Consider the following 19151-nt stretch of genomic DNA (forward strand, 5'->3'; position numbering starts at 1 on the left):
GTTACTGGATGTCCAGAAATGAGAGGTATAGGGGCCAAGGCTCTGGCCCCCCTGGAGGTTGGAAAATCACTGACACGAGGCAGATTAATAAGAGAAAAGGCATACAAATTCATTTAACATGCACATGCTCAGGGAGAATCACAGAGTAACTGCCCATCCCCTAAAAGGTTTCAGAAGCTCCTCCAAAATTCTTAACTGAGTTTTGAGAAATGCATAAATCGTGGAATCCAAATCTCTATAAAGATACAGAACATTATCATCAGCTCTCAGAAAATTCCCTATGTTCCTTCCTGGTTCTCTCCAACTCTCCCTGAAGCTATCACTTTTCTGATTTTTTTTAACCTATATGCCCTCATTGTCAGACAGAGTTGATTTTTTTCCACCATAGATGCTTTTCACCTGTTCAAGAACTTCATATACATAGAATTACACAGTGTGTATTCATCAGGGGAAAGCTGTTTTCACTCAGTAGAATACATATATTTTTTCCTTTTTGTGGAGAATGGGGTCTTGCAATGTTGCCCAGGCTGGTGTCAAACTTCTGGGCTCAAGCGTTCCTTACACCTCTCCATCCCTAAGTGTTCGGATTACAGGCATGAGTTACCGCCCCCGGCCACACTCAATATAATATTTTGGAGATTCAGCCACGTCACGGCATGTGTCTGTAGTTCACGTCTCTTTTTTTTTTTTTTTTTCTTTTTTGAGATGGAGTCTTGCTCTTGTTGCCTAGGCTGGAGTGCAGTGGCACGATCTCGGCTCACTGCAACCTCTGCCTCCCGGGCTCAAGCGATTCTCCTGCCTCAGCCTCCTGAGTAGCTGGGACTACAGGTGTGCACCAGCATGCCCAGCTAATTTTTATATTTTTAGTAGAGATGGGTATTCACCATGTTGGCCAGGATGGTCTCGATCTCTTGACCTCGTGATCCACCCACCTTGGCCTCCCAAAGTGCTGGGATTACAGGCATGAGCCACTATGCCTGGCCAAACCTCCCTTTTCCTAGTAACTTGTTTTTTGCATTTCATTGCTTTCTCCCAAAAATACTTATACTAGATTTAGGGATTTTGTATTAAATATCTTTTAAATTATAAAAGATAATTTAAACCAGAAAATGTATCAGCTTACGTTACTGTTAAATAATGTAGTTTTGTGTTTAACTTTCTAGTGATACAGTTACTACTGAGTGAAAAATTGGGAATCTGGAACCTGGCATATTTGAATCTATGCCAGAATTTGGATTTCTGCATTAATCTAAATAGCTGAAGCTTTGTGTAAAGACGATCTAAACCTGAGATTTCAATAGCACATTTGAAATTATGATGTATTTCAATTATATACAGCACTGTTATATTTTATGAAATAGTTCAAGAATGACTTAGATAATCTACACATTATCATCTGTACATGGTCTAAGTATCGGTATGGTTCAAAGATTCACTGTTGAAATATTTTCCTAGGTTTTTCCAGCTTTATTAAGATATATTTCACATACAATAAAATTTACCCATTTAAAATATGGAGTTGTTATTTTCACTATATTCAAGAAGTCATGCAACCATCATTACAATATAATTTTAGGATATTTTCAACACTCCCTTTCCTCCCCTAAAAAACAAACCTGTACTCCATTTTCAAACCTTCCCTTCCAATCCCCAGCCCCAGGCAGCCACTGAACTGTTTTCTGTCTCTGTGGATTTTCCTATTCTGGAAAGTGCCTAAATGTTTTCCAAAGTGGCTGCATCATCTTACAATCCCACCAGCAACATACGAGGCTTTCAATTTCTCCATATCCCAGCCAACACCTGTTATTGTCTGCCTTTTTATTTTAGCCATCCTAGTGGGTATGAAGTGGTATCTGACTGTGGTTTTGATTGACATTCCTCTGATGACTAATGATGTCGAGCATCTTTTCACACGTTTATTGGCCATTTGTTTATCTTCTTTGGAGAAATGTGTATTCAAATCTTTTGCCCATTTTTAAAGTGGGTTGTTTGTCTTTTATTGTTGAGTTGTGAGAGTTCTTTATATATTTTGGATATATATATACACACACACACACACACACACACACACACACACACACACACGTAAATTGTCAGGTATACAATTTGCAAATATTTTCTCCCAGTCTATATCTTTTCACTTCTGTTAGTGAACAACAGTTTTGAGGAAGTACAATTAATCTTTGTGTGTGTTACTTTGCTTTGGCAATGCATTACAGAAACCACTGCCAACACAAGGTCACAACGATTTACTCCTATGTTTCCATCTGGGGGTCTTGTAGTTTTAGCTCCTAGGTTTGCTAAATAAAATTTATAGAAAGTCATTGGTTTTCATGGAGCTCCTGCACTAGACCCAACAGACCAAACCAAAATGGATTTACTCATATTGAAGTTCCACAACACCATGCCAAAACTAAGTTGTTTATCTGAACTTTCAAGAAATCAAGAGAGAGAGAAAATAGCCAAATTCCCAAATAGGCCTGTTTTAGCCAGCATGATGAGGAAGCTTCCTCTGCTTTAACCTTTACAAGGAGAGCAACTTTGAAACAGCTGTGTTTTGTTTTCTGTCTGCTTTCCTCAGCCCTTTTCTATCTAGAAAGCCATGATCTTCTGCTCAACTCACCAGAATGTGCATTCTTTTTCATAGAATGAGGTGTTGCTTGATTCTAGAATCACAAGTAAAGCCAATTAAGATCTTTAAACTAAATTCATTATAATTTTGTCTTAGGACGTGTTTAAGTCTATAACCCATAGGGGTTTGTGGCTATGGTTCATAGACCATGTTGTTCTAGGAGTAAGATAAGTTGGCAGCCAGTGACGGTGTGTACATCTTCACTTACATACCAAATTAGATTAGGCTTGAGCGAGCACAAGCTGATGTCAGTCCCTGCAATGGAAAGTCTCAACCCCTCATCCAGTTTATGTACGGGAGGCAGATCTCACACCACAGCCCATCAACTGAAGGGGAAGCTGAGTCCCAAGGAAGGTGTATTTTCTCCTTGGGTATATTCAGTATCATTTCTTTCAATCTGACCCTAAAACTTAACAGAGTAACTGAACCCTAGGAAAAGGGGAACACCCAGATCTTTTGAGTGCTGTTGGACATAGGATCTGAGCTGACACTGAGCTCAAACATGTTTATGGCTCCCCTGATCCAGTGGAGGTGTACAAAGGCCAGGTGATACATGAAGTCCTGGCTCAAGTCTGTTTCACATTCGTTGCACTAGGTCCATAAACCCATCCTGCGGCAATTTCCCTGACCAATGAGCACACAGTCAAAATGGATTTTTTTCTCTTTTTTGAGATGGAGTCTCACTCTGTCACCCAGGCTGAAGTGCAGTGGTGTGATCTTAACTCACTGCAACCTCCGCCTCCTAGATTCAAGCAATTCTCCTGCCTCAGTCTCCCTAGTAGCTGGGATTACAGTTGCAGGCCACCATGCCTGGGTAATTTTTGTATTTTTAGCAGAGATGGGGTTTTGCCATGTTGGCTAGGCTGGTCTCAAACTCCATTTGGGTTATATAAGCCCCAAATTGTAACTGCCCTTTTGAGTCACATTTCTTTGTGAACTCCCACATGTACGTATGTGATTAAAATCTGCTTTTTCTTTTGCTAGTGTGTCATCCAGGCTGGAGTGCAGTGGCACAGTCATGATTCACTGCAGCCTTGAACGCCTAGGTTCAAGCCGTCCTCCCACCTCAGCCTCCGGAGTAGCTGGGACTACAGGCGATCGCCGCCAAGCCTTAAGCTCCTGTCCTCTTATGTTCATGGATTCCCCCCACTCCACACCTCACCCATAAACATAAAAGGGCAGAGGAAAAGTTTCTTTCTCCTCAACGCTATTAGGACACATTCATGCTAGAGGTAATCAGTAAATATCTGTTCAATGAATGAATGAATAATGGGGGGTGAGGTGGTCCCAGAGTGTTTGGTCAGTTTTCTCCTGGCATTTTGATCTTTCAGTTTAGCTCTTTGCTGTCTTTTCCCAGGGATTTGCTGACTACAAGTTTGGCTATGAACTAATAACAAAAATAGCTAACACTATGTCTTGTGCCAGTTATTTTAAATAAATCATCCTAATTTACCTGCAAGGAAATTTCCATAGATATCATTAAAATCTTTACTTATAGATGAGGAAACAGGCTTCAGGAGGTTAATCTTCCCCAGGTCATACATCAGCAAGTGATAGAGCCAGGATGTGACCCGGCTCTCCCAAAGTCTGACCACTGACTGTTGGGGCAAATGTCTATCTGCATCTTTGCTGCCTGGAAAGGCAGAGAATATTCCCATTTTATCTACAGAAAGTCACATGGTAAAATGACATGTCCCAACTCATGGAATTTGTCAAATGGAGTCAGCATAAGACCCTTGGGTTTCCAACCCAATGCAAAATAAGTACCCTTGCTCCTCACAGCATCAGTGAGAAAAATCTAAGACAGACCATACACATGATAGCACTTTGAAGCTGGGTGAGGAGCTACACAAATATACGGGATTATGATTGTTGTGTGTCTGTGCTTTGAGCATTAGAGACTCCCTTCTTAAAGAGACTTATGATTAGTGTCTCTTTTTCCCCTCCTCCCACTCCAGTGTGTCTAAGTGATCATGCTGAATCAATCTGAGGTGGGGTTGGGGGAGAGAAATAAAAACACTGAGGAGGTGATGCCATGTGTTGTTAATGGGATGTTTAGATGTAAAATGATGTTACCAAGCAAAAAGGGCTCAGTGCTTGATGTGCTAGAAGCCAATACTATGATACCGGGTTTTTGAGAAAAGAAAAGCTTTTTATTGCAAGTTGACTAAAAAGACAGGAATCCAGCTCGAATCTGTCTCTCTGTGCTAGGTTTAAAGCAGTAATTTTATTAGAAAAAAATTCATGGGTGGATTCTGGGATTAGTAGGTGATTGGCGGAAGGAAAGCGGAGGTCTAGAAAGTGCTGAGGCATGCACAGTTACCTCTTCATGCCACCACATGGATCATATGTCAAACTCGGGGAGTTTGTATGAACCATGCACTGGAAATTCAGGCTGTGATGTTAGCAAACCATTCTGCACAAACTCCAGTTAGTCATGTTGATTGCAAGCAATTTCAGTCAGTTTTTTAATATTACAAGTGGAGGGAGTTTCAGCAAGTTGTTTCTTTTCTCATCTGCTATCCTGCAAACTCAAGAATTTGTTAGTCACAGACTTCTTTAACTCTTTGGGGCACTGTTTCAAGGCTGCAGTTCTCCGTTGTTTAGCTATGAGCTAGTAGGCACTGTGCGGCTGGCATTCTGCTTTATGGTGGCAATTTCTTTCAGGAATGTCCCTTTGCTTCCAGATAGTTCATAGGTTTGAATAACTATTTATCCTGGCTAAAGGAGATCAATATGTTCGACTCCTACGTACTTACCAGAAGAGAATGATGCTCCTAAGGGGGATGAAAGGTGGGTGGAATGGGGACATAGGGAGCTTTTAAACACCAGTAGCTGGCATATGTAAGCCCTGCACGGTGGTAAGTACTTTGCTTCTGTGCATTTTTCACTCATAAATATATACTGAGTACTTTCTGTGAATTAGTTACTAAGTAACAGCAGGAACAAAATGAAGTCCCTTCTCTCTTGGATTTATATTCGTGCAGAGATAGACAATAAATACATAAATATAAATAAAAGCATTACATTCTCAAAATCACCTTTTGATTATTTTAGGTTTTTCGCTGATCTTTTTTTCTGCCTATATAAATTATATAAGCTAATTGTATAAGCTTCATTTAATATGGAAAAGCCTAAGGAAGAAAGTAAAACTCCCATCACTGTGAAAGCCATTCAAATGTTTTAGTCACCATCTTTTCATATTTTGCCTACATATGTATAAACAATTTTAGGTAGATAGGATTATCTTATACATCCTGTTTGTAATTCTAAATATGATGGAGTTTTATCATCTTCATTTTATAGACTAGGAAGTGGAGGCTTAGAATTTTTTTTTTTGAGACAGAGTCTCGCTCCATCACCCAGGCTGGAGTGCAGTGTCAGTCTCGGCTCACTGCAACCTCTGCCTCCTGGGTTCAAGTGATTCTCCTGCCTCAGCTTCCTGAGTAGCTGAGATTACAGGCGTCTGCACCACGCCCAGCTAATTTTTGTATTTTTAGTAGAGACGGAGTTTTGCCATGCTGAGCCTCCACTTCCTAGTCTATAAAATGAAGATGATAAAACTCCATCATATTTAGAATTACAAACAGGATGTATAAGATAATCCTATCTGCCACGTTGGCCAGACTGTTCTGAAACTCCTGACCTCAAGTGATCCACCCACCTGGGCCTCCCAAAGTGCTGGGATTACAGGCGTGAACCACCATACCTGTCCTAAGCTTTAAATAATACAACTAAAATCTAGAAGTAAAATGTTTAGATTGAGTGCAGTGGCTCATTCCTGTAATCCCAGCATTTAGGGAGGCAGAGGTGGGAGGATCGCTTGAGGCCAGAAGTTAGAGACCAGCCTGGGCAACATAAGGAGACCTGGTCTCTACAAAAACAAAAAAAAGCTGGGCTTGGTGGCCACAGCCTGTAGGCTGAGGTGGGAGGATGGCTTGAACCCAGGAGTTTGAGGCTGCAGTGAACCATGACCGAGCCACTATGCTCCAGCTCCACCCTGGGTGACAGAGCAAGATCCTGTCAAAAAAAAAAAAAAAAGTTAGAAATAAAGAAAAGAAAATGCTTACATATTTATTTAATTTATTTTGAGACAGTCTCGCTCTGTTGCCCAGGCTGGAGTGCAGTGGCGCGATCTTGGCTCACTGCAACCTCTGCCTCCTGGATTCAAGCAATTCTCCTGCCCCAGCCTCCCGACTAACTGGGATTACAGGCACCCGCCACGACGCCCAGCTAATTTTTGTATTTCGAGTAGAGACGGGGGTTTCGCCATGCTGGCCAGGCTGGTCTTGAACTCGTGACCTCAGGTGATCCTCCCCCCTCAGCCTCCCAAAGTGCTGGGATTACACGCTTGAGCCACTCGACCAGGCCTATTTATTTTTTTAAACCAAGGGCTGGATAGGATTTGATCCGGGCTCCAGATAAAGGACTCCTAGGGAGATACCCTGGTTAGCAGAGGCAGTTAGGAGGCTACTAAAAATAGTTCAATCTAGAAATAATTAGGGCCAGAATTGTCTCCAGCAGCGGGCGGGGGTGGGGCTGGGGATGATTTGGGTAGTTATTTTGTTCTCTTCCCAGCAAGTAATTTCAGAGCAGCCCAGAGATTCATTTTCTAAACAAATGATGTTTTTCTCCCAAGACTGACAAGGATCAGACAGACCTAGGGTTGCCACTAGCACCTAGTATCTTTCAGGCTGTTTTCTTTTGTTTTTAAAGTGGATTAAAAGCTTTCAGCCTTACCTAAATCTTTGTTGCAATTGTACAGATCTGCCTAGATTTATAGCAGATGGTAGAACAGAAACAGTTCCCGACGGAATTAATCATCACATTATTAAAACAAATTTTCGAGCATTGACAAATCCCTTCGGGGTTGTCCTCCGAGTGGGCAATTCGTAACCAGCTTGGGGCGTGCTAAGATTGTAAACGTTCCTATGGAGAGCGATAACAAAGGGGCAGCAGTGACTCCGCACACAGAATTCCAAGAATCACCAGCATTCCATGTGTTCCAAGGCTAGCACAGTGCGCGCGAGGTCCGCTTTTTTAAACAGCGCGGAATCACGTGGCCGACAGCCCGCGGCGCTACTGGCCCTCGGAGTCTCCCTCTTGGCTTTGGCGCGGAACCTTTCCCCCTTTGTGGACGCGACCATTGGCCCCGCGCTCGGAGGTGGTACGGACCAACCCTACGGTCATAGATTTTCCGAGTGAAGCTTTTGACTAAGTCTCAGGAAAGCGTTAGCTACAGAATTCTAGATTCAAAAGAAATCCACCAAAAAACGCTGTGGAGGACTGGTTTTGCCTAAAAGAAAGAGCAGACCTGAACTTGACTCCTCCTACGCCCTGTGAAGGCTGCAAGGTGGTTCCGTCCGAGGCGCGGACTCCGCCCCCACGAGCGCCGCCATTTTGTTTGGCTGAGGGGAGCGAGCGGCGCTTTGGGGGAGGGGTCGCGTAGGCGCCTCACCTGACCCTGCGGCCGTGCGGTTGCTGCTCCGGGGCAGGTCTCCTTCCAGGCCAGGGGCCCGGAATCATGTACATAAAGCAGGTAAGGCCTTCGCGTCCCTCCACCCCGTCATGGGCCGGTAAGGGCCGCTCCTTGAGGCGGGAGTGTTGCGGCGCCACCCGCAGCCTCTCCCCTGTCTCCACAGGCTGGACCAGGGCTGGGCGGGGACTGTGGGGGAGGAGGGAGACCCGGGTCCCGCTAGTGCCCCGGCTGCGGGGTCGCGGAGAATTGGGGCACTCCTTTGCAGCCCCGGCCTCCCTGCTGGCGCTTGTCTGGGAGAGGCAGGATCTCCGAGAGGTGTGGAAGGGCCGGCGGGCGGGCCGCTGGGAGGGACTGGGCCTTCCTGGGTGGCCCCAGAGCTGGCGGGGGGCACCCCGCCGGGGCGGCCGCGGGCGGGAAGGGCTGTGTGGTCCTGCAGGGGTGGCCTCACACGGCCCATGTGCCTGGGATGTGTGGAAAGGTGGCTTCCCCGGCCCGGGGGCGGCCCTGGGGGCATTGGCTGGGGTGTCGTCACCTGTCACTGCGGGGAGCCGTTCTTCTCCCCAGTTAACCCGCGAAGTGAGCGGGACCCTCCTGCTTGCAGGATACGGAGCGCCGCCTCCCTCGGTTGTTTACTTCTGTCAAAATGGTCTTCCCGCGCGGGACTCCACCACAAAGATGAGCCCAGGCACACGGCCTTGGAGACGGTTTTCTGTTGGGTCTGTCGGGCTCTGAGCACTCCTTCTTTGGAACGTGGGTTCTTTCAGGCTGGCCGGCGTGAGTGACTGAAAGCAGCACTCGGTGGTCTTGGAGTCAGGAGAGCTGGGGCCCGTCGGCCTGCTTTTATAGACTTGCTATTGTACTGCAGCGTTTAGGGTTCAGTTAAGCTCACACAGTGTTTTTGATTTTGAAAGGTCCTTAACAGGTTGACAGCATAACTCCTAAAAAAAAATAAAACCCAGCAGCATTGCCTTGGCAAAGATTACCGATAAAAGTACCTTTTTTTTTTTTTAGCAGATTTTTAATCACCACTTTCCAAAATGAATTTTTCTTATATGAAATTTCGAGTTTTCTATATTGCATTAAATGAAAAACAAGAAAGAAATGCAAGAGAAAAATGTTAATTTTTTTTGTGGGGTGGGTTCTCAAAAATGTTTTTTATTTACTAGGTGATTATCCAGGGTTTTCGAAGTTACAGAGATCAAACAATTGTAGATCCCTTCAGTTCAAAACATAATGTGATTGGTAAGTGTTCTTGGTTTACTCGGTCATATTTATAGTCTATACAGATAATGTAAATTCTGTCCATTTCTATATTGGCTTAAGGAGACAGGAATTGTCTTTGAATATTAAGTTATATTTTTCTGCGTGAAATAACTTTTCTGTCTTATTGCACTGATGAATTGCTTATTTTTATAAACTTAAAATGTTTGGATAAGACACTCATAAGTTATCCATTTTTTATCTAGGTAGCCTTGTATGTGTGTGTAAGAGTGTTTTAAAGCATTTCCGCTCTTCTGTTCTTGTTATATATCCTAGTGAAAATGCTGACTGTTGCCTTATTTCAGAGACAGACAATTTTTATTCACAAAGTAGATGCCAGGATTCCCCCCCCACCCCGGCAGTCAGTGTCTCTAAGGACAGACCATGTAGCTAGATTGGAAGAGCATAAACTTTGGAGCATAACAGAATGGGGTTCAAATCCCAGTTATAGGGGGGTGGGGGCCTGGGGGAGGGATAGCATTAGGAGAAATACCTAATGTAAATGTCGAGTTGATGGGTGCAGCAAACCAACATGGCACATGTATACCTATGTAACAAACCTGCATGTTGTGCACATGTATCCTAGTATAACAACAACGAAAAAAAAAATCCCAGTTGTGGCACACGTTCTTTTTCACTTTCTGAGAAGCTTCAGTTTTCTCATTTGTAAAGTGGAGATGATACCTGTCTCATAGGGCTGTTGAGAAGATTAAATGAGAAACCTTATGTAAGTGTGAAGATAAAGAGCTAATGGTGATTGCCATTAACAATATGTAGTCATTATAGATTGCTCAGATTGTAGTGTGCATTTTGCTGATACAGCTAACAAAAATGTTTTCTGACACTCTGCTGAGTATTTTACAGGATAGATGAAAGGAGTGCTTCTGGACACCAGAAACACAGACTGCTGTTGACACAGTTTTGCTGTACAGAGTCCAAACTAAGTGGTGTATTAGTTTGCTAAGGCAGCCATAACAAAATACCATAGACTGGTGGCTTAAACAAGATATTTTTTTTCTCATAGTCTGGAGGTCAGACATCCATGATCAGGATACCTGCATGGTTAGGTTCTCGTGAGGCTCTCTTCCTGGCTTATGGACAGCTGCTGTCTTGCTGTGTGCTCACATGGCCCCATCCTCATGTCCTCATTTAACCATAATCATCTTCCAGGGGTCCCCATGTCCAAATACTATCACATTCGGGATTAAGGTGTCAGTTGTTTCAGGGTGTCAGTTCAATTCAGTCTGTGGTGCGTGGGTGAGATTCACATTACTAATGTTTCCAGAAGACCTTTAGAGAATCATACTTCATTTTGTATAAAATGATAAAATTGAAGGCAGGTTTTTTTGCCCTCGATTTATCAATAGCAGCCTTGTAGTTGGGAATAAAGAAGGCATACTTTTTTTTTCCCTGCTTGTGCTCTGTCTACTGAAGTCATTTAATTGAATTGACATGCCATAGGGTGGCTTAATTGTACTGGGGTTTTGCTTACATATAAGTACTTTCTGATTTTTTTCATCAATCAGAAAATCTTTAGAAATGTAGAAAAATAAGAATTATTAGATTTCTGTTTTCTTTAACTTGCACCTTAAAATAAGTACCTTAATATTTCATTTGTGTGATTTTATAAATGATCTGTAACTTACTAGCTAGAATGATTACATTTTGTCTATAAGGTCCATCAAATACCATTGTTTTAGCTGTTATCAGTTAGTTGTGTTACCTCTGTGATTGCAGCATTAGATTTGTTAATAGTCACTGTTACAAAGGAAAATGGTTTTGTTTAACTAAAACAAATGAACCCAAGATAACAGTACTGATTAAACATATTTTAAAACCAGACACGTTGTAAGACATAATGTAAGAAAGACCAAAAGTAGTTAGGTACTGAGATTTGCCTTAAAAATATCTGGTGAAAGCATACCACTTTGATTGATGAATGATGTTGACTATTAAAAAATATCTCTTGTACTGATGTTGGGTATATGCATCAAACATATACGTTTTTAGGGATTTTTTTCCCCCTAACCTTTAACAAAAGAAATACATGTTATAGAACATTATGGAAAAGCTAAAAGGAAGAAAATTAAGATAAACTATAATCCTTTTACTCAGAGATAACCATTCTTTGTTTTTTACTGCACACCATGATTCTTCAGAGATAACCATTCTTAATAATAACAGTCTATACTTGTGATTAGTCCTGGTTTCCTAGAAAACAGCACAGACAGGATTAGCTGCTAAGGCTTTGATGGGAGGTGCAGTTTGAGGGCAAGAATGAAGAGAAAAGCTGGTCATAGATTTCTAAAGAAGAGACAGGTGGTTTGCAGTCATGTTAAATAACTCACAGACTTTGTGGACCCACCATACCTTAGAAAGGTCAGATGATAGAGGAATGGATTTGGATTCTGACAAGGATTTGTTTGCAGGCACCTGTCTTTCATTGGTCAAAGTTTTCTACATCTGGCATTGATGCCTCCAAGCTTTTGGATTGTGGTGCTCTGGGAACTAACACCCGGAAGTAGTCAGGGAGTTATAGCCTCCTTTCCATGTTCACAATTCAGGAGTACCTGAATGTACTCCCAAGGTAGCTTGAATCTACCAGAGGTATTAGGAGACTGAGCTTTTCCATTGATTGGCAGCCAAGGCCTGGGTTGAGAAAGGTGAATCTGGGGCCACATATAAACTGTGTTTACCTCAGTACGTTTTTAGTCTTTGTATACATCTTTTTAATATATATTTAAATAAAAATGGGTTCATTTTTAAATAAAAATGGGTTCATTTTTAAATAAAAAATGGGTTCATCATATAACTTACTGGTAATCTGTTATTCTCCTTCAGGATAAATCTTGAAATATCTTTATTAAATATTCAGCATCCTTTAAAATTGCTATATAGTGTTCCACTCTAGCAGTAATTCTTAAAAGGAAATTCTTAAAATTTCAGTTATTTATAGATGGATTGTGGTTTGAAATATTTATTCATTTAATGATAAATTGTCATCTTAAACTTTTATTTAGAAATAGTTTCAAATTTACAGAAAAATTTCCCCAATAAGAACTGTTCAGAGACTACTCATAAACCCTTTACCTAGATTCACCTGTTGTTAACATTTTCCCCACTTGCTGTATCATTTCCACTTTTTACACACCTTTTTCCTTAAAGTTATTTACACCATGGTCCTTTACCTCTGACTTTAATGTGTACTTTCTAAGAGGAGGGATGTTCTCTTTCATAATCACAGTACAATTTACAACTTAAGTAAATTTAATACATAGTAATCTGTCCATTTTCCAGTTATGTTGACTGACCCAGAAGTGTTCTTGATAGCATTTTTCCCCCTCCAGTACAGGATCTAATTTAGGAGCAGGTATTGCATAGTTGTCATGCTTCTTTAGTCTCCTTTAATCTGGATCATTTCCACAGCCTTCCTTTGTCTTTTATAACATTGTTATTTTTGAGAATTAAGACATAAGTGATGTTGTGTCCCTCTCAGGATATCACATCTGGAGGCACATGAGGTCTGTCTGACTCTTATTGATGATATTACTTTTGATCACCCAGTCAAGGTCTAATGTTTCCACTGTGTAGGTATTATTTTTTCCCTTGCAGCTAATAAGTAATATAGGCAGATGCTTTTGGACCATGTAAATCTTGTGCTCCTTTTCAAACTTTGTGCCTGCATTTACCATCTGTTGATGACCCTTGCCTTTATTCTGACGGTCACAAAATGATTTTTCATTTCCAGCACTCCTTTCACATTTACAACTTGGCATTTGGTAATTCTCCTCCTTCCTTACCTACTTATTTATCTTTTTATTATTGGTATGGATGCATGGATTATTCCCCCCACCAATAATTTATAATTTATTTGGCCATTTTGATGCTCAGATTACCCCTAGTTTTAGCTACTGAAAGGCCCCTTCAAGCTGGCTCCTGTGTCTGTCATATGCGTTTTTTTAAAAAGTACATCCTTTCTGGCATGACATGAATGATCTTTTTGAGATTTACTTTGCATTAAAGGTGGTAACTTTGTGGTTAATTTGCTCAGGATATTTCTGGCTCAAGAGTGAGAAGACTGACATAGTTATTTATGAGTCTTAACACTGAAAATTTCACTAAACACACTTAAAAGGATTTGATACCCTTTTACGTATTGAATTGCTTATATTTGAATTTTGTTAGTCAAAAAGTACCTTAAAATTATTTATATTTTTGTGGTTCTGTGAGACTACACATGATAATATAGGGTTGATTTTAAACATGAGAACACTTTAAGGATTTAAAATGATTATTTTAGAACGTTAGCAATATATGAATCTTTAAATTGTTAAACATATATAGTTAAAATAGAATTATATATCCATTGTAATATGATATAAGAGCCAGGTAGTATATTTAGCTATTCCTATTCATTTTAAACTATTGGGTAAGAGCAAACGGATCAACTGTGAAATATCTTTAAAGAAAAAACTATTAGAAGTCTGTACAAAAATTGAATTTATTTGGTGATTATAGTTGTTTTATTGGTTTCTTTTGTTCACTGTTTAATTTCAGATGTTAAGATGTATTAGAAAATTGGATTTTAAAAATATTGAGTATTTTTAAAAAGGTAAACAGTTTTAATTTTATTGGTTTTTATGTAAAATAACTTGTACTTTTTGAAATTTTCCAGTGGGCAGAAATGGATCTGGAAAAAGTAACTTTTTTTATGGTAGGTGTTGCTTTTTGAATTGTAAATATATTAAGACCTGGGTATCTTAGGGTAGATTATTAAAATCATTAATTTTCTGAGGTTATGTATTCATGAAACCCAAGAAATACTTTATATGGGGTTGCAGCTTAGTGTAGAGGGTTTAGAGTATACAGATCTGAATTCTGCTTTATACCCAGTGGCTGATTAGCTGTGTGAGAGTGGGCAAAACACGTAGCCTCTCAAATTTTTCTTTTCACTTTAAAAATGGAGATGTTTGGATGTTTGCCCTGTCTACCTTAGATGGTTTGTAAGAATGGAATGCAATAGTATGTATGAAAATGCTTTTTAAACTTGAATGTAATATATAAATGTTATAAATGCATATTTTAAACGTATGTAAATGCAGTAGAATAGTTGATAGTATTGTTTTGGAAAATTGTTCATCTTTCTTATTTCACCTTTTTGAAAACGTTTTCTAAACCAATCATCTTTGTAAAGGATGAAGAGGTATAAAAAACTTGAAACTGAACAGACTGTTGTCACTTTGAAGATAGTAAATAGAGCTTCAAAAATTCTCTCTAAATTGCATTTAAGTGTAAATAGCAATGCGTCTGTTAACAAATCCTTTGAGGAGAAAAACATTTTAACAAAATTAGACAGTTAAGGAGTAGGTTGAAAAATTTGAACTTTTTAGTTGGGTAATGCTTGAGGGAAAGGGGCATTTAGTGGACTGGCTTAGTAAGAACAAAGGTTCTATCTCTTCTGTGCACACGAATCTGAAAGGCACTCTCTAGCCTGTATATCCTATTGTGGTTGTAATTTGGCAATGATGAGAGAATGGACTGAAGTGGAAGTATTTCAGAATCTCCAGGGCAGTGTGAAGTCTCCTCACCTCGACCTGTGTCCACAGCACACACATTAATGCTTATGCACGTACTTGCTGATGTGGGCACCCCCACCACCTCCACACACACACAGTGCCAGAGGTCTCTTGGGTGGACTGGGACAAGAACAGCTGAGTAAAGAGTTCCACTTCCTAGGCAGGGTGGTCCAGTTAGGTACTCTATACCGAAGTAGGAACGGCCCCTTCTTACAGAGCTCGGTATAGTATAAGAAGTGTAGTATAAGTTGGGCATCTCAAACATTTCCCTGTATTTCCTTAGTTTTATTTCTTTTGGTAAAGTATCCACTTAAGCATATTCTCAAAATACATCCTATTTTGTTAAAAAGGATTTTAACTCATATCATTTATGTCTAGTGGGGAAAAAAGCAAATACAGTGTTAACCTAATCCAGTCAGTGAACACTTTGAGCCAGAGGTATACCTTAGTTTTGCTTGTCTGTTTTCATGTATTTCGGTGGTTTCTCTTTATTTCCTTACCTTAAATGTTTCAATGAAAACTTCTCAGTATTTTTCTTATATCATTTCCTACCTGATTAGTCTGATGTGCAGGCACATTTTCTGCATTTCCTTTTGTCCATATGAAACAGATAATTTATTTGCATTGTCTATTACCAGACACACTATGTTCTATTGAGGTGTGGGAAGTTATAAATAAGTTATAAACACTTTTTTAGGGTATACTAATAGTTGTTTTTGTATTTCCAGCAATTCAGTTTGTTCTCAGTGATGAGTTTAGTCATCTTCGTCCAGAACAGCGGTTGGCTTTATTGCATGTGAGTGAGACTGCTTTAAGACATTATTGATATTACATATATTTTAAAAATAAATTTTCCATGCTGGTTAAAAAAGCATTTGTTCAAGTTTCAGATTCTTTGTGAACAAGACACAATCTTTCTCATAAGTGTGTTACTCTGCTGTGAAATTTAGCCTAACATATTAATGCCAGATAAAAGCCCAATTTTTATACAGTGGTTTAGGAGAAAATTATAGGATTTGCCTATAGATGGATATGTCCTCCATATAAATGTCTTAAAGGAGACATGATATATATCATAAGTGTTTTATTCTGCTGTGAAATTTAGCCTAACATGTTAATGCCAGATAAAGGCCTAATTTTTATGTGATGGTTAGGAGAAAATTATAGGATTTGCCTATAGGTGGGTATGTCCTCCATGTACATTTCTTTAAGGATGTGATCTGCAAAGGCTTAAGAAGCAGGTTTGCTGAGGAGAAAGAAGAGTTTGAGGTTGCAGATTAGGAACTTTAAGATGCAGAACCAAAAATTAATTGGGAACATAGAGAAACAACCATTGCAAACTAAACAACATACAAGTTGTTTGTTGTTTTAGCCATATTTGTACTTAGATAGTAAACATCATTTTCCAGTATGAAAAACAGTAGAGATGTTCTGCAACTTACAGCGGGGTTATGTCCTAATAAACCTATCATAAACTGAAAATACCATAAGTCAAAAATGGACATTAGCCTACAGTTGAGCAAAATGATCTAACACAAAAGTCTGTTTTATAATAAAGTGTTGAATCTGTCATATAATTTATTGAATACTATGCTGAAAGTAAAAAACAGTGATTTTATGGATACTCAAATTATGGTTTCTACTGAATGTAGACTGCTATCACGTTGTCATTCAGCCATTTGTTGAACCATCGTAAGTTGGGGACCACCTGTATATTTACAGTAATGTGAGTTAGGATATTTTATTAAGTGGGTCCTTTTGTAATGCATAAGCACGATGATTGGGTTTTCGTGTTCATGTGAGTCATGCCTCCCTCAAACCTTGTTAGGACATTGGCACATTACCAATGTGATGTGGAAAAAAATATGAGTAATGGACTAAAGTAATTTTAGGATAGAAAATCATGAAAGACTACAATAAAACGATTAATCCTTCTGATTTGAATATTGTTTATTAAAGACTAGAAAATGAAATTCCTCAACATGTCTTAACAGTGTTTCTCACACATAGGAAATTGTTTTGTTTAGCTCTTGTCTGTCTTTTCCCCTTGTTTAGTTTGAATTTGTAGCCCAGTAATCAGAATTGATTTCCTTTAGAAAAATTCTTTTTAGGTTTTTCAGATTGGCATTAAAATAATTAATAACCTCTTTGGTACAGTTCTTCATTGTATTTACTACATAGTTTCTATAATCTGGAAGGTATCTGGACTTGGTACCATAGTTTTTGTGTCATAGATTGGTTTAAATGTGACACATGTTAAATGTGTATATTTCTATAATAGATTTAAAACTGTAGAATGTCTCAATTTTTCTTAAAAAACAGACTTTTGGTAATTATCCCATGATTTATTAGGATTTCTTTGCAGCATTAAAATGAGACTGTAAGAGAAAAGCCTCATGGTGTATTAGATATTAGCAAATAGGTAGAGTTAAATGTCCCCAGTCTTGCAGTCTAATAAAGTGGTCTGTAGAATCATATTTAAGGATATCTAACTTTGACATGTCTTGCATAGCTCTTATTTTTTATTTAGAATCAAAAGCTATTTGGTTGAGAAGTTTTGTTGTCCTAATCTAACGTCTCTGCTGTTTTGGCAAGAGGGATATATACTATAACTCTGGGGATATCCCCAAAGTATGTATCCCTCTTGCCAAAAGAGCAGAGACGTTAGATTAGTGTGTGTGTGTATATATGAATCTAGCAGAAATTTTTCTCCATTGAATCAGACTTGTTATTATGCCCTAGACTTTAAGAATCCTTTAAAGGATATGAATATACAACTTAAATGGCAAATTTCTCACTTCTTTCATTTTTAGGAAGGTACTGGTCCTCGTGTTATTTCTGCTTTTGTGGAGATTATTTTTGATAATTCAGACAACCGGTTACCAGTAAGTAACTTTTTTTTTAAAGTAATGTTGAGAATTTAATTGGTTTAGCTGATTTTCTTCATACTTTGAAACTTTTTAAGCTTTTATAATTTGTTATAATTACAGTTTATATACTGATTTTATCTTAAAATGACAATGAATACTCTGTTAACAAATGGGAATGTACAAACTGTTGTGAAAAGTGTCTTGGTTAAGAGTATTGAGTATTTGTAGTATTATTTTTAGTGAGATAATTGAAATTTTAAAATAAATACTTATGGGCAAGGACTTTAAAATGACCTTATTTAAAAAGTTTTCTCCTTTACTATTAAATTAACTGTGGGCTTTTACATTTTTTCTTAGATCGATAAAGAGGAAGTTTCACTTCGAAGAGTTATTGGTGCCAAAAAGGATCAGTATTTCTTAGACAAGAAGATGGTCACGTAAGCATTTTTCTTTTTTTTAAAAAAACTGAATATGTACTTAAATAGAGATGGGGTATTGCTGTGTTGGCCAGGTTGGTCTCGAACTCTTGGCCTCAAATGATCCACCTCGGCTTCCTAAAGTGCTAGGATTACAGACATGAGCCACCACGCCCAGCCAGCATTTTTCTTTTTCTCAATACGGAGTCTTGCTCTGTCGCCCAGGCTGGAGTGCAGTGGCGCAGTCTCGGCTCACTGCAACCTCCACCTCCCGGGTTCAAGCTATTCTGCTGCCTCAGCCTTCTGAGTAGCTGGGATTGCAGGCAGTCACCACCACACCCGGCTACTTTTTGTATTCTTAGTAGAGACGGGGTTTCACCATGTTGGCAGGCTGGTCTCGAACTCTTGACCTTGTGATCTGCCTGCCTTGGCCTCCCAAAGTGCTGGGATTAGAGGCATGAGCCACTGCGCCCAGCCCGCAATTTTATGATTTCCTTACAAAAGAGTAAAAAGTATTCTTTTACCTGCTTCATATATGAGGAATATTTGCTTCATCTTCAACAAGTCAACATATAGAGGATAAACATAAGAATCAGAAAGTTCTGAGGATGATACAGATGGTTTAATTACTGATCTTTCCTCCCTAATGCTATCAACCAAGGGGCTACTCTACTCATTGCTTAATGGTGCTTTAAAATTATTTATCGGAAAGTAATTTCATTGTTTGTCAACAGGAAAAATGATGTGATGAACCTCCTTGAAAGCGCTGGTTTTTCTCGAAGCAATCCTTATTATATTGTTAAACAAGGAAAGGTAAAACAATTGTATGTCCTTTTTAAGTAGAATTTGTTTTCTGAGTAATTCTTGAGTGATGAATTTGGTTTATTGATTTGAGTGGTTAAGCTGAAGCAAAAATGG

General features: G+C 39.3%; 1 protein-coding gene, 1 long non-coding RNA gene and 1 other non-coding gene across 3 annotated transcripts in view, besides 4 other annotated features; 2 read left to right on the forward strand and 1 right to left on the reverse strand.

Moving 5' to 3' along the window:
- LOC105378483 (uncharacterized) lies at positions 4841-7648 on the reverse strand. Its single transcript, XR_946318.2, has 2 exons — positions 7373-7648; positions 4841-5353 (listed from the first exon to the last, which is right to left on the reverse strand). It is a non-coding gene; the product is annotated as an uncharacterized LOC105378483 (long non-coding RNA).
- Positions 6338-7040: an enhancer, noted in NCBI's record as "H3K27ac-H3K4me1 hESC enhancer chr10:112325756-112326458 (GRCh37/hg19 assembly coordinates)". NCBI's record gives its function as "activates a minimal SCP1, AML or CMV promoter by ChIP-STARR-seq in primed H9 embryonic stem cells {active_cell/tissue: H9 hESC(primed)}" and the evidence as "EXISTENCE:reporter gene assay evidence [ECO:0000049][PMID:30033119]".
- Positions 7855-7904: an enhancer, noted in NCBI's record as "active region_4037". NCBI's record gives its function as "activates an Ori minimal core promoter by ATAC-STARR-seq in GM12878 lymphoblastoid cells {active_cell/tissue: GM12878}" and the evidence as "EXISTENCE:reporter gene assay evidence [ECO:0000049][PMID:35858748]".
- Positions 7915-8014: an enhancer, noted in NCBI's record as "active region_4038". NCBI's record gives its function as "activates an Ori minimal core promoter by ATAC-STARR-seq in GM12878 lymphoblastoid cells {active_cell/tissue: GM12878}" and the evidence as "EXISTENCE:reporter gene assay evidence [ECO:0000049][PMID:35858748]".
- SMC3 (structural maintenance of chromosomes 3) overlaps positions 8035-19151 on the forward strand; it is a 38354-nt gene continuing 27237 nt past the window's right edge. Inside the window, exons 1-7 of the mRNA NM_005445.4 lie at positions 8035-8171; positions 9278-9353; positions 14047-14085; positions 15676-15743; positions 17761-17832; positions 18175-18254; positions 18968-19046. Coding sequence (NP_005436.1) covers positions 8157-8171; positions 9278-9353; positions 14047-14085; positions 15676-15743; positions 17761-17832; positions 18175-18254; positions 18968-19046 — 429 coding nt within the window. The 5' untranslated portion in view covers positions 8035-8156. The remainder of the gene's footprint in view (positions 8172-9277; positions 9354-14046; positions 14086-15675; positions 15744-17760; positions 17833-18174; positions 18255-18967; positions 19047-19151) is intronic.
- Positions 8355-8644: a silencer, noted in NCBI's record as "silent region_2820". NCBI's record gives its function as "represses an Ori minimal core promoter by ATAC-STARR-seq in GM12878 lymphoblastoid cells {active_cell/tissue: GM12878}" and the evidence as "EXISTENCE:reporter gene assay evidence [ECO:0000049][PMID:35858748]".
- On the forward strand, positions 16700-16801 carry LOC124902586 (small nucleolar RNA U13). The gene has a single exon (XR_007062419.1). It is a non-coding gene; the product is annotated as a small nucleolar RNA U13 (small nucleolar RNA).

This window comes from Homo sapiens, chromosome 10 (assembly GCF_000001405.40).
Source record: "Homo sapiens chromosome 10, GRCh38.p14 Primary Assembly".
Classification (NCBI taxonomy): Eukaryota; Metazoa; Chordata; class Mammalia; order Primates; family Hominidae; genus Homo; species Homo sapiens.